General features: G+C 37.5%; 1 long non-coding RNA gene across 2 annotated transcripts in view, besides 1 other annotated feature; it reads right to left on the minus strand.

Moving 5' to 3' along the window:
* LOC105372676 (uncharacterized) overlaps positions 1 to 15,710 on the minus strand; it is a 60,004-nt gene extending 44,294 nt beyond the window's left edge. For both annotated transcript variants that reach the window (XR_001754682.1, XR_001754683.2), the window contains exons 1-3: positions 15,624 to 15,710; positions 9,305 to 9,447; positions 4,525 to 4,753 (exon numbers count right to left, since the gene is read on the minus strand). This is a non-coding gene — a long non-coding RNA (uncharacterized LOC105372676). The remainder of the gene's footprint in view (positions 1 to 4,524; positions 4,754 to 9,304; positions 9,448 to 15,623) is intronic.
* Positions 10,969 to 11,480: an enhancer, noted in NCBI's record as "H3K4me1 hESC enhancer chr20:54207780-54208291 (GRCh37/hg19 assembly coordinates)". NCBI's record gives its function as "activates a minimal SCP1, AML or CMV promoter by ChIP-STARR-seq in naive H9 embryonic stem cells {active_cell/tissue: H9 hESC(naive)}" and the evidence as "EXISTENCE:reporter gene assay evidence [ECO:0000049][PMID:30033119]".
* Positions 15,711 to 16,162: the final 452 nt, after the last annotated feature.

The raw sequence follows: 16,162 nt of genomic DNA on the forward strand, positions 1-16,162 counted from the left end.
GGAAGGGGGTTACACTGGCAAGAAGGACAGGTTTGGTGGGAAAAGCGATTGTGGTGGGAGGGGTAATTTACAGGGTTAGCAGCAGATGTGGAATGTAGGCTCTATAGATAAGAACTGATGGGGGAGTTGTTTACTGAGACTAGGACAGGGAGACATAAAGAATAAGTAAGTTCCGCTTTAAAAGCAGGAAACAAAGAACAAGGGAACTTAGACAAGCTAAACCTTTGAAGAAGAACTTCTTACTGTATTTAACATTCTCTTGGGTATACACTACTGAGTAGAATTGCTGGCTCATATGATGACTCTAACTCTTTGAAAAACTGCCAAATTTTCAAAATTGGCTGCACTATTTTACATTCTTAATAATTTCTCCATATTCTCACCAACACTTAATATTGCCATATTTTTATTATAGCCATCCTAGTTAGGTATGAAGGGGCTTTGATTTATGATTTTGATTTGTATTTCCCTAATAACTAATGATGGTGAGCATCTATCATGTTTACTGTTGGTTTTTGCATTCAATGTCTTCCTTCAGCATTCGGATTCCTTCCCACTGAAGTATAACTTGTAACAGTTCTTTCAGAATACATCTTGGAGAGGTGAACTTTCTTAATTTACATATATCCGTAAATTTCTTTTTGTCTTATCTTTTGACTATTTATTGACATGTAACAAATACAGTATAAATTATAATCATGTAGCTCAATACATTTTCACAAATTCAGAAAAAAGCACTTGAATAACCAATACCTATAATAAAAAATAAAAGCTTAACAGCATCTTGGAAGCCCCACTGGGCCACTCTAAGTTACTGCTCTCTAATAGATAACTTTTATCCTAGCTTTTGCACCACACACAAGTTTGCCTAGGTTTAAACTTCAAATAAATGGAATAATATCATTCAGAACATACATATTTTTTCTCTTTCCTAATTGTTTTAGTATATCATGTGCTGTGGGGATACATATTCTCTTCAGTTGTATCTACTGACTATTTATTTCATGTTAGATTACATTCTCATGCAATTTGCAAATTTTGTAGTGACCTTATATTTCATAATATTTCATAGAGTCATATATTATTTTCATCTTGGATTCCCAAGTGCCCTGGTTTGGAAAAACCCATATAGAAGAGGTTGTTTTTGGTTTGACTGGCATTGACCTCTTGGAATGGTCTAGGATTATATTAAATGGTCTGGCTTCATGTTTTCCTACCTTAGAGTTAGTAAAAATGCAATTCAACACCTCTGCATCTTGCTTGAGATTACAACATACACACTTCTGGCAGATCCTCGATACTTTCCATAACTTGTCCTTCATAAGACTGTTTTAGAATTGAAGCAAATCTTTGCCTCTTTTGTAAATTCAAAACCAGATTCTTTGAATGGTAATGCAGATATTAAATAAGTGTGTGGGTTAAATGACAACCCAAAGACTCTGTTTTTATCAAGACCTTCTAGTTAGCACATAAATATATATTTTTGCTTACATAAGACACTAAATGGGATCTGAATACTTAAAAGGGATAGATATATTCTATGAAGACATGCAAATACAAATAATTAACTATCAAGTTTCCCTGTGGGCAGGTATATTGAATCCAAGTTCCTCTTCTTGGCTTCTTGATCCCAAACCTCCTTACCAACATTTCCTTCTGCTTCTCAATCTTCACAATTCATTGTAGTTTGAGTTCTTGATAGCCCTCTTCCCTGTAGCACATTCTAGATTTCTGGCCTTGCTATTGACAGCCCCACCTCTGAAAAACCTGCTTATTTTATTCTTTAAATATACTTTTTATACTATCCCTCAGGCTATATTTTTTTTCTGAAGAACTATCATTTTTTCTAGTGCTTTGTCTATGCTAAGACCATCAGTGCTTCATAAAATGTGGTTTAATTATTCATACATAGTTATAACAGTAGGATCTGCTTTATATGCCCCTGAGCTTTGCATAGCTCAGGGTAGGCCAGTATACTTCTTAATCCCTTAAGTAAAGATTTGGGATCTTGTTCTCAGCACCGTGTTTTATGTTTAGTGGTCCTCTTTGACCCTGTAGTTATCTTTGCAGAGTTACTGTAGTGAGGCACCTTTCACAAAATGAGCAATGTTTCTGGGTCAACCAGTTGGATGCTTGGTACAAATAGATTTGTCTTTATTTAAATGAAGAATGAGATGCCGGACTTAAAGATACAGGTTCTGAGAACTTAAATAGCATCCTTCACAGCAGTCTTTCTTGATTAACATTAACTTGCCTAGCACTGCTAGGTGTCAACTTCCAAATTGGATCCACTCTTTCATCTTAGGATGCTCTGAGTTAAAGATCTTCTTGTTTCTCATCTCCTACTTTCTCAGAACTTTCTTCCCCATACCCACTTATCCTTCACACCATAAATTTTATTACTCTCTTTGCCTTTATCCCCTTCAATTATGAATCCCATCATTAGCTCATTAAAACATGACTTCAGGCTTGGCACGGTGGCTCATGCCTGTAATCTCAGCACTTTGGGAGGCCACAGCAGGCAAATCATTTGAGGCCAGAAGTTCAAAACCAGCCTGGCCAACATGGCAATAACCCATCTCTACTAAAAATACAAAAATTAGCCAGGCATGGTGGTGCACACCTGTAATCCCAGCTACTTGGGAGGCTGAGGCAGGAGAATCACTTCAATCAGTGAGGTGGAGGCTGCAGTGGGCCAAGATCATGCGATTGCACCCCAGCCTGGGTAAGAAAGTGAGGTCCTGTCTCCCTGTCTCTCATATATATACATAACTAAAATAATATATAGTAATATATGTTATATATTATACTATATTATATAATATACTATAATATATATAATATAGTATATATTGTATATAATATAGTATATATAATATAATAGTATATAATATAGTATAGATAGTATAGAATATATAGTATATACCTAGTATACTATATTATATAGTATAACTATTATAATATTTATAGTATATTATACTATATAATACAGTATACTGTATTATATACTATAATCTACTAGATTATAATATACTATATAATCAGTATACTATATTGTATAGTATAATATAGTATTATATTATAGTAATATATTATAAAGTATTATAGTAATATAGTATAATATACTATACATTATATAGTATAGTATATTATATAGTATACTATATATAAGTATATTTAATAGTATATTGTATATAGTAATTATATATAGTATATATAATATACAATGTATAGTATATTATAGTATACTATACGATACTGTAGTATAGTATGCTATATAGTATACTATATACGACAGTATCATATAGTATACTACAAAATATATAGTATAGCATAGTATACTATATAATATACTATATTATATATACTATATTATATATACTATACTATATTATATATACTATATTATATATACTATACTATACATAAAATACTATATATAGTATATTATATATAGTATACTATATATAGTATATAATATATAGTATACTATATATACTATATATAGTATACTATATATACTATATATAGTATACTATATATCATATATAGTATTATATACAGTATACTATATATAATATAGTATACTATACTATAATATACTATTTGTTATAATTATCTAGTATAGTATACTATATATACTATATTATATAGTATATAGTATATATAGTATATAGTATATATACTATATACTATATATACTATATACTATACTATATAATATATATACTAATATATTGTATACTATACTATGCTATAGTATGCTATATACTACACTATAGTATACTGTGTACTATACTATAGTATACAGTATACTATATACTATACTATAGTATAGTATACTATAGTATAGTATACTATATACTATAGTATAGTATATAGTATACTGTATACTATAGTATAGTATACTATATACTATACTATACTATAGTATACTCTATAGTATATAAAGACATATATATAGTCTTCAAAATGAAGATCCTGTATCCTATATATATATATAACTTCAAAAGTGAGATACATATATATGATGTAGAAACTTTAGAATATACAAAATTGTCTTCTTCAGGATAAGAAAATCCTGATATTCAGCCTAACCTCCACTGACTGTAAAGGAAGAATGGGTTTCACTTTCAGGGAAGGTCACCTTCATCCTCATGAAGAACTGTCAAAAATAGTCTGCCAAGAGTCCCAGATTGAACACCTTCTGTGTAGGTGACAAAAGGACAAAAAAAATAATCAATTCATGGCTTACGTGCTGATATAGTCATGGGATATTAACAAATGCAATCACTGTAATTATTAATGGCATTCATTAAACACCATGGTGTGCTGGTAGGTTGTTCCACATGAAACTGACTATGCAGGTGGTATGTCATTCCATTTCACTATATGCTCCCTACAGATAATTACTATGTTATAACCAGCTTGCAAAATCAGGACTGACCCCCACCTAAAGTTCAGATGGCAAGGTTGATGAAATCACAAGCACACAAAGAGGGTATGGAAAGGATGCTTACTTACATAATTGAGGTCTCTGGGAGAACCGGGCAGACCTCTCAAGCAGGTCAGAAATGGTTTGTGAGGGCCAGGAAAGGTGACTGGCTTGGGTCTCTATTATGATTCACCGTGGGACCAGGGTGAGCATTCCATATGGGCAGAGGTTTCCATGGTTTGGATGTCTCGCTGGTGCCAAAGGAGAAAGCACCCAGGCTTTTTCTTTTCTTTTTTTTTTGAGCTTGTACAGATGTGGCTACAAGGGAAAGCAGAGGGGTGAGGCTTAAAATCTATCAACAGTCAGACATCAAAAAATAGAATCAGACTCCTAATTACAGAGCATTTGTTGACAGTTCTTCATAGCTGTCATTTTGCTTCCATCATGTTAAATATTTTGTAGTCCACTCGGTAAATGCTTCTAGATTAACTGTTTGTTTGGATCACAAATCTTATTTTTTGTCTAATGTCAAGAGGAAACTCTAAAAGTGTAAGATCTTTGTAAGGGCATTAAGCTCAATCACAAAAGTGCAATGCTTTTAGAAAACTAAGCCGACACTGGTTGAGTCCATCTAGCTCTAGCCTGCTAGAGCTGCCAGCACTCTCCCCCAGTTGTCTGAAATATGCCTTCTTCTGTAATTGGCCTTGCACCTCTGCTCCAAAGGAAGGTTCAGTTCTGTCTACTCATTGCCTTCTAAGTCTTACTTCCTTTGGCAATATCTAAGGTTAGGTCAGCAGCGTGTTTTCTATTGTATTAGGTGATCTCATCCCCTAGGACCCTACATGAATTTACATGAATTACGATCTCAACAATCACTCTCTCTTTCCCTTTGCGTCCCCATTAGCACCCCTTGGTTGATTTGTGCCAATGCTTATTGTCCTTTAAGTTATGAAGAAGAAAAAGAAAATCTGATAAATCAATTTCCTCCTCAACGAAAAGGAAAATTATTATTTTATACTTCTTAATCTTGCCGTGATATGCATATATTGTAGGCTGTATCAGCTATCCACTACATACTTAGAAATTTGGCTAATTATCATAACATAAATTAACATTTTATGGCTGTGAAAAGAGAATAGAAATGGATTTTAGAATGTCAAGTATTTATCACTAGTATGTGTTAATATAAATAGCTTAATAAAAATAGGGCATTTATATGTATATATGTGGGTGTTCATGTATATATTTTTATATGTATATATGTGGGTGTGCATGTATACATTAAATGATGAATTTATATGTATATATTAAATGTATATATTATATGTATATATTACATATATACATATTGTATATTACATATACATAATACATAAAATGTTTAATACATACATAATATATACATAATATAATATTGTATATTATTAAATTATACATGTATATATGTATACATGTATACAAAATATGTATATAATATATACAAAAAATGTGTATTTTTGTACATATATTGTACAAAAATATGTATATTATATATACAAAATATGTATATAATATATACATATATTATGTAATATAATATATACATAATGTGTATTACATACATTATATGTAATATATACATATATATTATATACATATATATTATATACATATATGTATATATTATATACATATATGTATATATTATATATTATGTATACACATATGTATATATGTATATATTATATATTATGTATACACATATGTATATATGTATATATTATATATTATGTATACACATATGTATATATGTATATATTATATATTATGTATACACATATGTATATATGTATATATTATATATTATGTATACATATATGTATATATGTATATATTATATATTATGTATACATATATGTATATATGTATATATTATATATTATGTATACATATATGTATATATTATATATTATGTATACATATATGTATATATTATATATTATGTATACATATATGTATATATTATATATTATGTATACATATATGTATATATTATATATTATGTATACATATATGTATATATGTATGTATACATGTATATACATATATACGTATACACATATATACGTGTATATACATATATACGTATATACACGTATATATTAAATGATAAATTTATATGTATATATGCGTGTGTGCACACACACACGAGATATGTTGGTTTTGTGTAATGCAACCAAATAAATTAAGTATACATAGGAGAGAGTCACTGCCCTGACTCTTAAATGTAACCCTTATTAAAGAAAATATTTTAGTTCATTTTTTATCTATCAACCTTTTTTATCTATCAACTCTGAAATCTGCAATCAATCATATTTGGTTATGAGCAAAATAACATGAATGATAATCTAAAATTTCTGGCCAAATAACACTGGGATAATTGCATTATTACCTCTAGTACTCTTAGAAATTTCATTTGCCAGTCATAATGTCATTGAGGGGTGAGTAAACTTTTCAATAGCAGGTAGTTTACCATTGGAGAAATGCATTCTGGATATTTCCCAAAGTACACCTGAGATTTAGATTATTTTACTGATAGTTTTTGAGAAGAAAATAATAATCATTTTTCTGGTTCTTCACACCAAAAAAATTTTAAATGAAGTTGGGCATTTTAAATACTCTTTGGATTTAGAGCTCTCTAATTATATTTGAATCAGAACAAAATTCCATTAAAATAATTTTAATTTCCAATATTATGCACCAAGCATCTGATTTTTTCATGAGTTTGCCAATGGAAGTTCATGCTGCTGGTCAAAGTTCCCACTCATATAAGAATAATTTCTTTTAAGAATAATTTCTTTTACCCTTGAAGCCTCCTGATTGCTGCAAGCAATTTCAAAAACTTTTTTTTTTTTTTTTTGAGATGGAGTTTTGCTCTGTCACCCAGGCTGGAGTGCAGTAACTTGATCTCAGTTCACTGCAACCTCCACCTCCCAGGTTTAAGCTATTCTCCTGCCTCAGCCTCCCAAGAGATGGGAATACAGGTGTGTACCACCACGCCTGGCTAATTTTGTATTTTTAGTAGAGTCAGGGTTTCACCATGTTGGCCAGGCTGGTCTCCAACTCCTGACCTCAGGTGATTCGGTGATTCACCTGCCTTGGCCTTCCAAACTGCTGGGATTACAGGCATGATCCATCACACCCAGCCTGACTCATTCTTTAATGGAAAAAGAAAATACACATGTTATTCCTAAATGTCAGCAGTCAACCTATCAATGATTGACATATCTTATTTTCTCAAATACAAGAAAACCAGTCCTTGGTATCGAAAAGGTGATGCTGTATAGTACATACGGTATTATCTCATTTGTTTTTTCAAATGAAAATAATTTTTAGTGAATGATTAAAATTTACTAAATCTCTCTATAGCCATGTCTAGGGATCTGACTTGTTCCATATGTAAGTACGTGCCCCATATATTGACACAATTTTAGAAATGGCTGTCAGCTGTTATCTCTGGGAGAAAGGATTAGTAGAGACTCATTATAACTTTTATATTACCATATTGTTTGAGGAATACATAATCACGTTGATCAGATACACATCTCAGTTTACAAACTCAAGTGTGAAAGAAATCTTTTCTCAGAGTGTGTCTTATTTCTGCAAGGGGACAGACCTAGTGTTGAAGTGGCATTTTCAGGATGAGACAACAATCTAGATTTTTGTATTTCCTTTCTTTTGCCTTGGGGTATGCAGACACCCTGTTCCCATCTGGCCTTTATACACTGATGTATGAAGCCATGCTGCATTATCCTCTTCCTGTCTGTGAAGCCCTTCACCCCCCTTCACTGGCTGTCCTTAAACCAAGTTATTCCTGCTCCCGGGGGAAAGCATTCTCCATCTCCTCCTCTGCTGTGGTTGGCAAAGAAAACTATGAAGCCAAACTGCTCAGATATACTGTAATGATTTACAACAAACGAGAGAAAGTCAGATGGTAAGAAGGGCTGGGAAGGATTTTAAAACTGGCTATTGTAATGGTTGGGAAGCCACTTTATAGTAGATAGTCAAGGATGGCTTCTTGGAAGTCCTGCTATTTGTACTAGTAGTGTCCATTGCTGTCTCCATTAAAAAATGATGAATTTAATCATGTGTGATGATGGTAGAACATGATCAAATTCATTGAAGAGCTGGTAATTTGGCTTGAAAGGGGTGCAAAATAGAACAACAACTAGCGTCCAGGCGCAGGTATCCATCAGCCATCACATCTGGGCCTGGCCTCCTAGGAGAAATTAGTTCCATTATTTGTTTTCTCCATCTGTGTTAGACCCCATTCAAGGCTCAACATTCATAGATATAGAGTTTGAGAGCCCAAACTTAAGTCATCGCCCCCCACCCCACCCCGACTTGGCTATGAAAGATCAAGAATTTTTCTTGCCAGTTTCACCTATAATTTTCCAAAAACAAGTTGCACTATAAGTTACCCCATCAAAAAGTGGGGAATGGGCCAGACGCGGTGGCTCAGGCCTGTAATCCTAGCACTTTGGGAGGCCGAGGAGGGCAGATCACGAGGTCAGGAGATTGAGACCATCCTGGCTAACATGGTGAAACCCTGTCTCTACTAACAATACAAAAACTTAGCCGGGCGTGGTGGTGGGCGCCTGTAGTCCCAGCTACTCGGGAGGCTGACGCAGGAGAATGGCGTGCACCTGGGAGGTGGAGCTTGCAGTGAGCCGAGATCGCACCACTGCGGTCCGGCCTGGGAGAAGGAGCGAGACTCCGTCTCAAAAAAAAAACGTGGGGAATGAGGGGTAGAAATGGGTACTGAGCAGCCAGGATCCATGAACGCCTTAAACATTCTTAAGGCATGTTAAAGGCATTGCACTATTTTACCTGCTAAACAATCCGTTGGTTTGAAACATGGGTTCCTCTTCTTTTTTTCAGTGGTGTGCCAGGTAAAGGAAAGCGTCCAGGGGAATGTAGTTAGGGAGGAATTGCAGTCGGAGAGGATTTGCCTCACATCATGAGCTTCAGCGCTGTGATTTACATTAATATTAAATGTTAGCTTGTGTGTTGCATACCCTGAGGCTTTTTACTCCACCTGGGGGTGGAAATTTGCATTATTATGCATTTCTGACTCTAGATATAGTGGGGATTTTATTTTTGTCTCTAAGAACAAGCTAAAATCAAATCTTGTTTAAATAGGGACAGACTATGCTGCTTAGGAAAAGCACAGAGAGAAGATAGGGCAATGAAAACTTGGCAATGAGGCAGATATCAACATTTATACATTATTGTCTATTCATTTTTTCTCAGTCTTGTAAGAATTAAATCTTAAGCCGGTGCTTCACATTTCTTCTCCTTGCCTTATGAAATAAAGTTAACAAAATCTGTGTATAACAAGTTTTCTCACAACAAAACCCATTCCATAACAAGTACATTGAGTAAATATCTATGTAGGAAACCGTATGTTAGGCAGTGTCATCATGTCCTACCAAAGACCAACACCCATGTAGTAATTGAATTATTCCTTAAAGCCACATCGTCACCAGATTCTCTGGTATTTGTGTTTTATGTGTTTGTGAAATGGGTATTTTGATGCCTTGCCTTACTCCTTTTTTTTTTTTTTTTTTTTTTGTGAGATAGATAGGGTCTTACTCTGTTTCTGAGGCTGGAGTGCAGTAGCACAATCATGGCTCATGGCAGCCTGAACCTCCCCAGACTCAAGCAATCCTCCTGCCTCAGGTTCCGAAATAGCTGTGACTACATGTGCGCACCACCACACCTGGCCAATTTTTGTATTTTTTTTTTTTTTTTTTAAGATGCAGGGTCTCGCCATGTTGCCCAAGCTGGTCTCCAACTCCTGGACTTAAGCAATCCTCCTGCCTCAGCCTTTCAAAGTGCTGGGATTACAGGCGTGAGCCAGCAGGCCCGGCCGGTGCCTTCCATTTTTGACTGTAAGTTTAAAAGGATTTAGAAGAATTTAAGCTTGAAAAATCAAGCAGAGATTTGGCTCAGGTTAGGTTTTGTTTTGTTTTACAAAACAATGGAGTCAGAGAAACTGAATATTCTCTCTCAGGGTAACTCCTACCAACAGAGGCAGTTGCCAGGACGATAGGGGCTATTTCTACACTGGCAAAGAATATTATGTAAAAGTGCCTTGGTTATTGTTGTTGTTTTCTACTACGAGGGCAACAATCACACGTAGTTACTTTTTCTTCTACAATGTGCATTGAGCTCATATTATTTTAGAAACGTATTTTACTTTGCCTAATTCTAGAACCGGTTACTTACATGTCTGCCTCTCCCTTAACTCCTAACAATGAGGCAGATAGCATATTTTTGACATTTCTCGATCCCTGTGTTACAGGATTTTTGGGATGTCACTTTTCTGGCCAGAAACCTCTGTGGCCAGTGGCACCTCTGCCTGAGTTTTGCTTGGGCCCACTGGCCTCATTCCGCCCACTCAGCCTGGCAGGCTGTGCTCACCTTCACTACCGGTCTCAATCCCATGCCTGCCACGGGCGAGACAGGTGTGGAGTGGCAAGGGGTGTGTGAGCAAGTGTAGGGTCCAGCCACTGTGCACAGCCAGACATGCTGGCTGTTGCTGAGGGGTGGGCAGCTCCAGGTGCCAGCACAGGCACCAGCTGTCTGCAAGGCTGCAGCTTCCCCTGCTGGCACCAGGGAATGCGGCAGCACCTGGAAGCTTGGGGACTCCAGGAACCACAAGGCCCCAAAGAGGGAGTCACAGCCCTGGCTTTGGGAGCTCTCAAGTCTGGGCTCCCTGATGGGCTGCCGCTCTTCTCTCCTTCTCTTCACCCACAATGTGGCAAGCAAGGGGCATGTTTCAGCCCTGTTTGTGTTACAGCTCTTTTAGCCCCACCATTCGGGGGGTCCTGAGGAGTTTTGTCCTGCAACCAGGAAGAATGAGGTATGTAGACAAGTGGAGGGTGAGCAAGACGTAAAGGAGTTTTACTGAGTGATAGAACAGCTCAGAGAAGACCCACAGGGAGTAGCTCCTTTCCAAAGCTAGGGTGTCCCAACAAGTGTTCAGCTCCTAGCAGAGAGGGTAGCTCCTCTCTGTAGCTGGTCACCCTGACATCTGCTCAGTTCTCTGGCTGAGCCCAGGGCTTTTATGGCCTCAGAGGGGAGAAAGTGAACACCAATTGGTTCATGGCTGGCCAAGGGCAGGATTGGCAAAGGCACCACAATTTCCCACTCCAGGCTGTGGGACTGGCAGCTTGGCCCCCAGGCTTCAGGCCCTCCCTAGCTCATTGGTGCCCAAAGTCCAGATGGGGCCAAGGTGGCAGGGACTTGTCAGCACTGCTCGGAGCATGTACATATTGGGCCAGGCTGCAACTGTGCCCAGGCTTAGCCCTGACTTTGCTCCAAGACTAGGGCAGATGCCATCAGCAGGGAGAAGCCCTGCAGTGGGAGAGGGCACTTCCTAGCTCATTGGTGCCCAAAGTCCAGAGGAGGCCAAGGTGGCAGGGGCTGGTTTATCAGCACTGCCCCAAGCTTGTGCATACCTGGCCCCAAGACTAGAGCAGGTGCCAACAGCAGGGAGAAGCCCTGCAGTGGGAGAGGGCACTTCTAAGCCTGTGAGGGCAGAGAGGGCCTTTACAGGCCCCCAAAATTACAGAGATGGCTGGTCTGCAGCAGCAGTTTGGATGGCTGCAGGTGTACCTGGGGGGAGGGTTGTGGGTGGGGTTCCTGCCTACTCCATGGAGCAGGGGGCTCAGATCTGCAGCCACTACTTGGGCTGCTGTGGCTGCACCTGGGGAGCTCCTACCCCAATATGGAAGGGGCAGGTGTCCCATTTGTCCCTGATTCCCTCCTGCTCTGTAGAGTATGCAGTCCTGGCTGTGCCTCCTCCAAGCCTGGGGCAGGGACTCCAGGTCCTTGCTGGGCTCCTTTCTGCCTGCCCCTCATGCCCGACCACACTGCTCCACTGTTAGTGGCCCCCAAGGCAATGGACTGGGCTTGTTGGGGGCTCCCACCAGCTCTGTGTAGTACAGCACCACCCCTGGCTCAGGTCCACCTCCTCCTCGTGCCTTCCCTGCAGTGGCCAGTGTGACGGCAGCAGCCACTCCAGGGAGTAATTAAGATATTATTTGGAATAGATGAATGAATGGATAAGGAATAAAAGAATCTGGGGGTAGGTGAGGAATATAATCTGTAAAAGTGAAATTAGCATTGCTATAATATAATGGATATTTCACCATTGTAATTTAGGAATGGAAAAATTAGATCAATTACTTCCTTTATAACTGCTAAAAATAAACTTGGGAAATCCTGAAAGAGCTGTAATCTTAGACTGTAAAACTCTTAGTTTTTACAGGTTAATAGTTGTTCACCCTCATCACTAAAAAAAAATGCACATATATGTAATAATATATTTTTAATCTTATGATGATTCTTACTCTTATTAGTACATTAGTTCAGTCACTTCAAAGACTAAGGTCTAATGTTGCTCATGTATTTGCATCTGATTTTCACTAAAGTTATAAAGGGGAAACAAGAAGTTGTATCCTCAAACTTGGAGGTTGAGATTAGACAATATAATTCAGATATAGAAGTAAACAAGGTTTTATTTTTCAGAATATACCTCATCCCTCAAATGTATAAATAAAAAATCACAATAAAAAGAATAGTGTCATAGAGAAATTAAAAATCCTCTTTAAGCTTAGAATAACTTAAGCTTAGAATAACCAAGATTCCATTCATAATGAACATGTCCAAAATTGCCAGTGGAGACAATCCTGAAGTTCAAGGCAACTGCAACTTGAAGTTACAGCTGAAACTAGAATGCATTCTGTTATGGTGCTTTTTGCTCCCTCTCAGAAGATTTTCTAAGGTGACACTCAGAAAGCAAATGGCACTTTGACACTGTTAAGCAGTAGCAGAGCTAATATTTATTGTTTGAAAGCGGCATCAATGTCACTCACTTTGATTGGGCTGTTTAAGGCCACTGTCATTTGGACTTGGATTGGCCACTGAATCACCCCTTTGTTATTGACTTGTGTATTGTTATGGAACTGATAAAAATGTTTGGGTTGGTTACAAGTTCCAAGGAACTTCAAACAGCCCTACAGCACAATTCTATGTGCAATTGGGAATCATTCATTTTCCAGATGTCAGAGTTTGAAAGACTTCTCTGTATAGAATTGAAAATCGTTTGTGCCTGAGGACCTGGGATATTTTTCTATTCCACGCTGCCATTTAAAACATTTAATGACTTTTAAAAGAAAAAAATGTAATGCATTCATCACTTTGGGAAAAAATGAAAAGGAAACATTTTGACATATCTTGAGAGCATCACAAATGATGTGGGGTCTTGATGAAGGGCCCTCCAGTTTCTGTTTGTTTGTTGCCTGTTTTCCACATTGAGATACAGAAGACAAGGACACTCATGTAGCTGGTGTCATCCTCGCCTTCTTTGCATGCCTTTCCATCCATAAAATTCAACAAATATCAGTCTAGCAGCGCTTTATTAAACACTGCCTACCTATAGAGCTGAAACCAACATTTACGTTAATCTTTATCCACCTTACTAGGACTTTTTTATTAATGCACCCCTAAGCCAGAGGGAGTAACTGCAAAAAAGAATTGACATGTGATATTCCAGGCTTGATGGACGTGTCCTAGAAAATGTCTTAGGGAAGACATCGTAGGGAACCAGGAGATGCCTTTATGTTCCTTGTTAATTACCATGTACAAAATGTGAAAACAGTTTCCTGTATAATTCCTAGTGACCACGAGGTTGCATTTCTCTATATAGACACAGATGTACTAATGCTTGTAGTCCTGGTCACAATCATGCTCAGAGATGTATTTATAGTTTGTAGATGTCTCCCTATTGAGAGCCAGAAAAGAAATTAGCTCTTACCATATGTCACATACTGTGCTGGCTTGCAACCCAAGATCATGTTCCTTATATAGGAAAGAAATGTGATTGCAAACAGGACCATGTGATGTTCTTCATCATTTCTTTACCAACAGGTGTTTTCAACACACCCTCCGAGAGAGTGGTTAAAGTAGAATTTCACTCTGTAGATGCCCCCAATTTCCTTGGAACTCATTCTCTTTGTTTCTGTAGTGCCTCTAACCCTGTTTTTCCTCCTTCAGTGGCCAGTGATCCTCGTGTGACACCTTATCTCCCTCACCTCTAATGCTAGTGGACTCCAGCACTAAGTACACAAACCCATTGTCTACATTCAATTCCAATGTGGTCTCATCAAATCTCAGAGCCTTAAATCTAATCTTTGTCTTTACCAAATTATATTTCTTGCCCAATACTTATTTCCTTAGAGTAAAAATTTATATCCAATAGCCTACTCAAAATCTCCACTGGCATGTGTGGTAGGAATCTCAAATTTAATATGTATAAGTTAAACCCTTGGTCTTCCTCCCCATATTCTCCTGCTGACTTCTTATCTCAGTGACAACTCAATGGTTCCAGTTGCTTCAGCAAAGAAAAGTTTCTTTTTATGTCCCATGACCAATCCTGTCAGTTCTACCTTGCTGTTATACCCATACTCCAGCCACTCCTTATCACCTCCACTGACAGCCAAAACCAGCACAACCACTTCCTAAAAGGAGTGAAAGACCCTCTACCAACTGGTTCTGCTCCTGCTCCCTCCCACACACAAAGGAAAACACAGGGATCCTTTAAAAAAAAATGCAAATACAATGAATTTACTACTCTACTCAAAACCACCCAATGGGAAAAAGCAACGTATTACCAAGACGTACAAAGCCCTGCCTCATCTAGACCCAGCTCCCCACACCCCCACCCTACCTCATTTCCTACCCATTCTTCTTTCTTATTGACTCCCCTCCAGCCACATTTTCTTCTTAGAATGCTCTTTTCCCTCCTGTGTGTGGCTGGACTCCCTGGTTTCCTTCAGGTCTTAGCCCAAGACACTGGCTCAGTGAGAATTTCTTTTTTCATCATCTTCAAAATAGCAGTCTTCATCCTAGAAACAACTTATCTCCCTTCACTGCTTTGTTTCTCTTCTTCACACCTACTACCACACTCTAGATTGATAAATAGATAAGATATAGACATACAATGGGAGCAACATGAAAGACAGGATTTTGTTTTACCTATGACTACATTCTCAGCACCAGAACAGTACCAGATATGCAGCAAGTGCTAAATACTTAACTGCGACATCAACAGATAACTGAAAGCACACATATTGCTTACCCTTAAGTCCTTCAGCCTCAGACATCTCTGGCTTCCCATTGTGTTGCTATTTAAGTTTCAACACTCATAGCTAAATGAATGTTGAAGGAGAATTTCATAGGATGGAGTGCCTCATCATTCCGTGGGCACATGGGAAACAAACAGACGGAAAAAGAGGCACTGTGATGAAAGAATTGGTATTGATGTAATTCATTCTCTGACTGCATACCACACAGACACTTTTATAGGGGCAAAACACTCATTTATATCTTAAGGATCTTGTGCGAATGGACTGGACATTCAAGGTGAGTGGTGCCTGAGGGTATGTATTAGAAACACAAACAACATACGGAAATATTCTATGTATGTGCACGTGTGAGGTATACATGCTTCTTCTCCTTTATAAAAGAGAAAAATCCAAGCTGCTTCTGAAATCTGGAGAAGGGGCAGAATGTCGAGTACATGCATCTTTACATAAATACCCTGAGTGAATTTCCCCTTTGGGTATATGACATCCTTGAGTCAGATCCTTCTGTCAGAGAATGGAAACAACCATTTCC

This window comes from Homo sapiens, chromosome 20 (assembly GCF_000001405.40).
Source record: "Homo sapiens chromosome 20, GRCh38.p14 Primary Assembly".
NCBI classification, from domain to species: domain Eukaryota; kingdom Metazoa; phylum Chordata; class Mammalia; order Primates; family Hominidae; genus Homo; species Homo sapiens.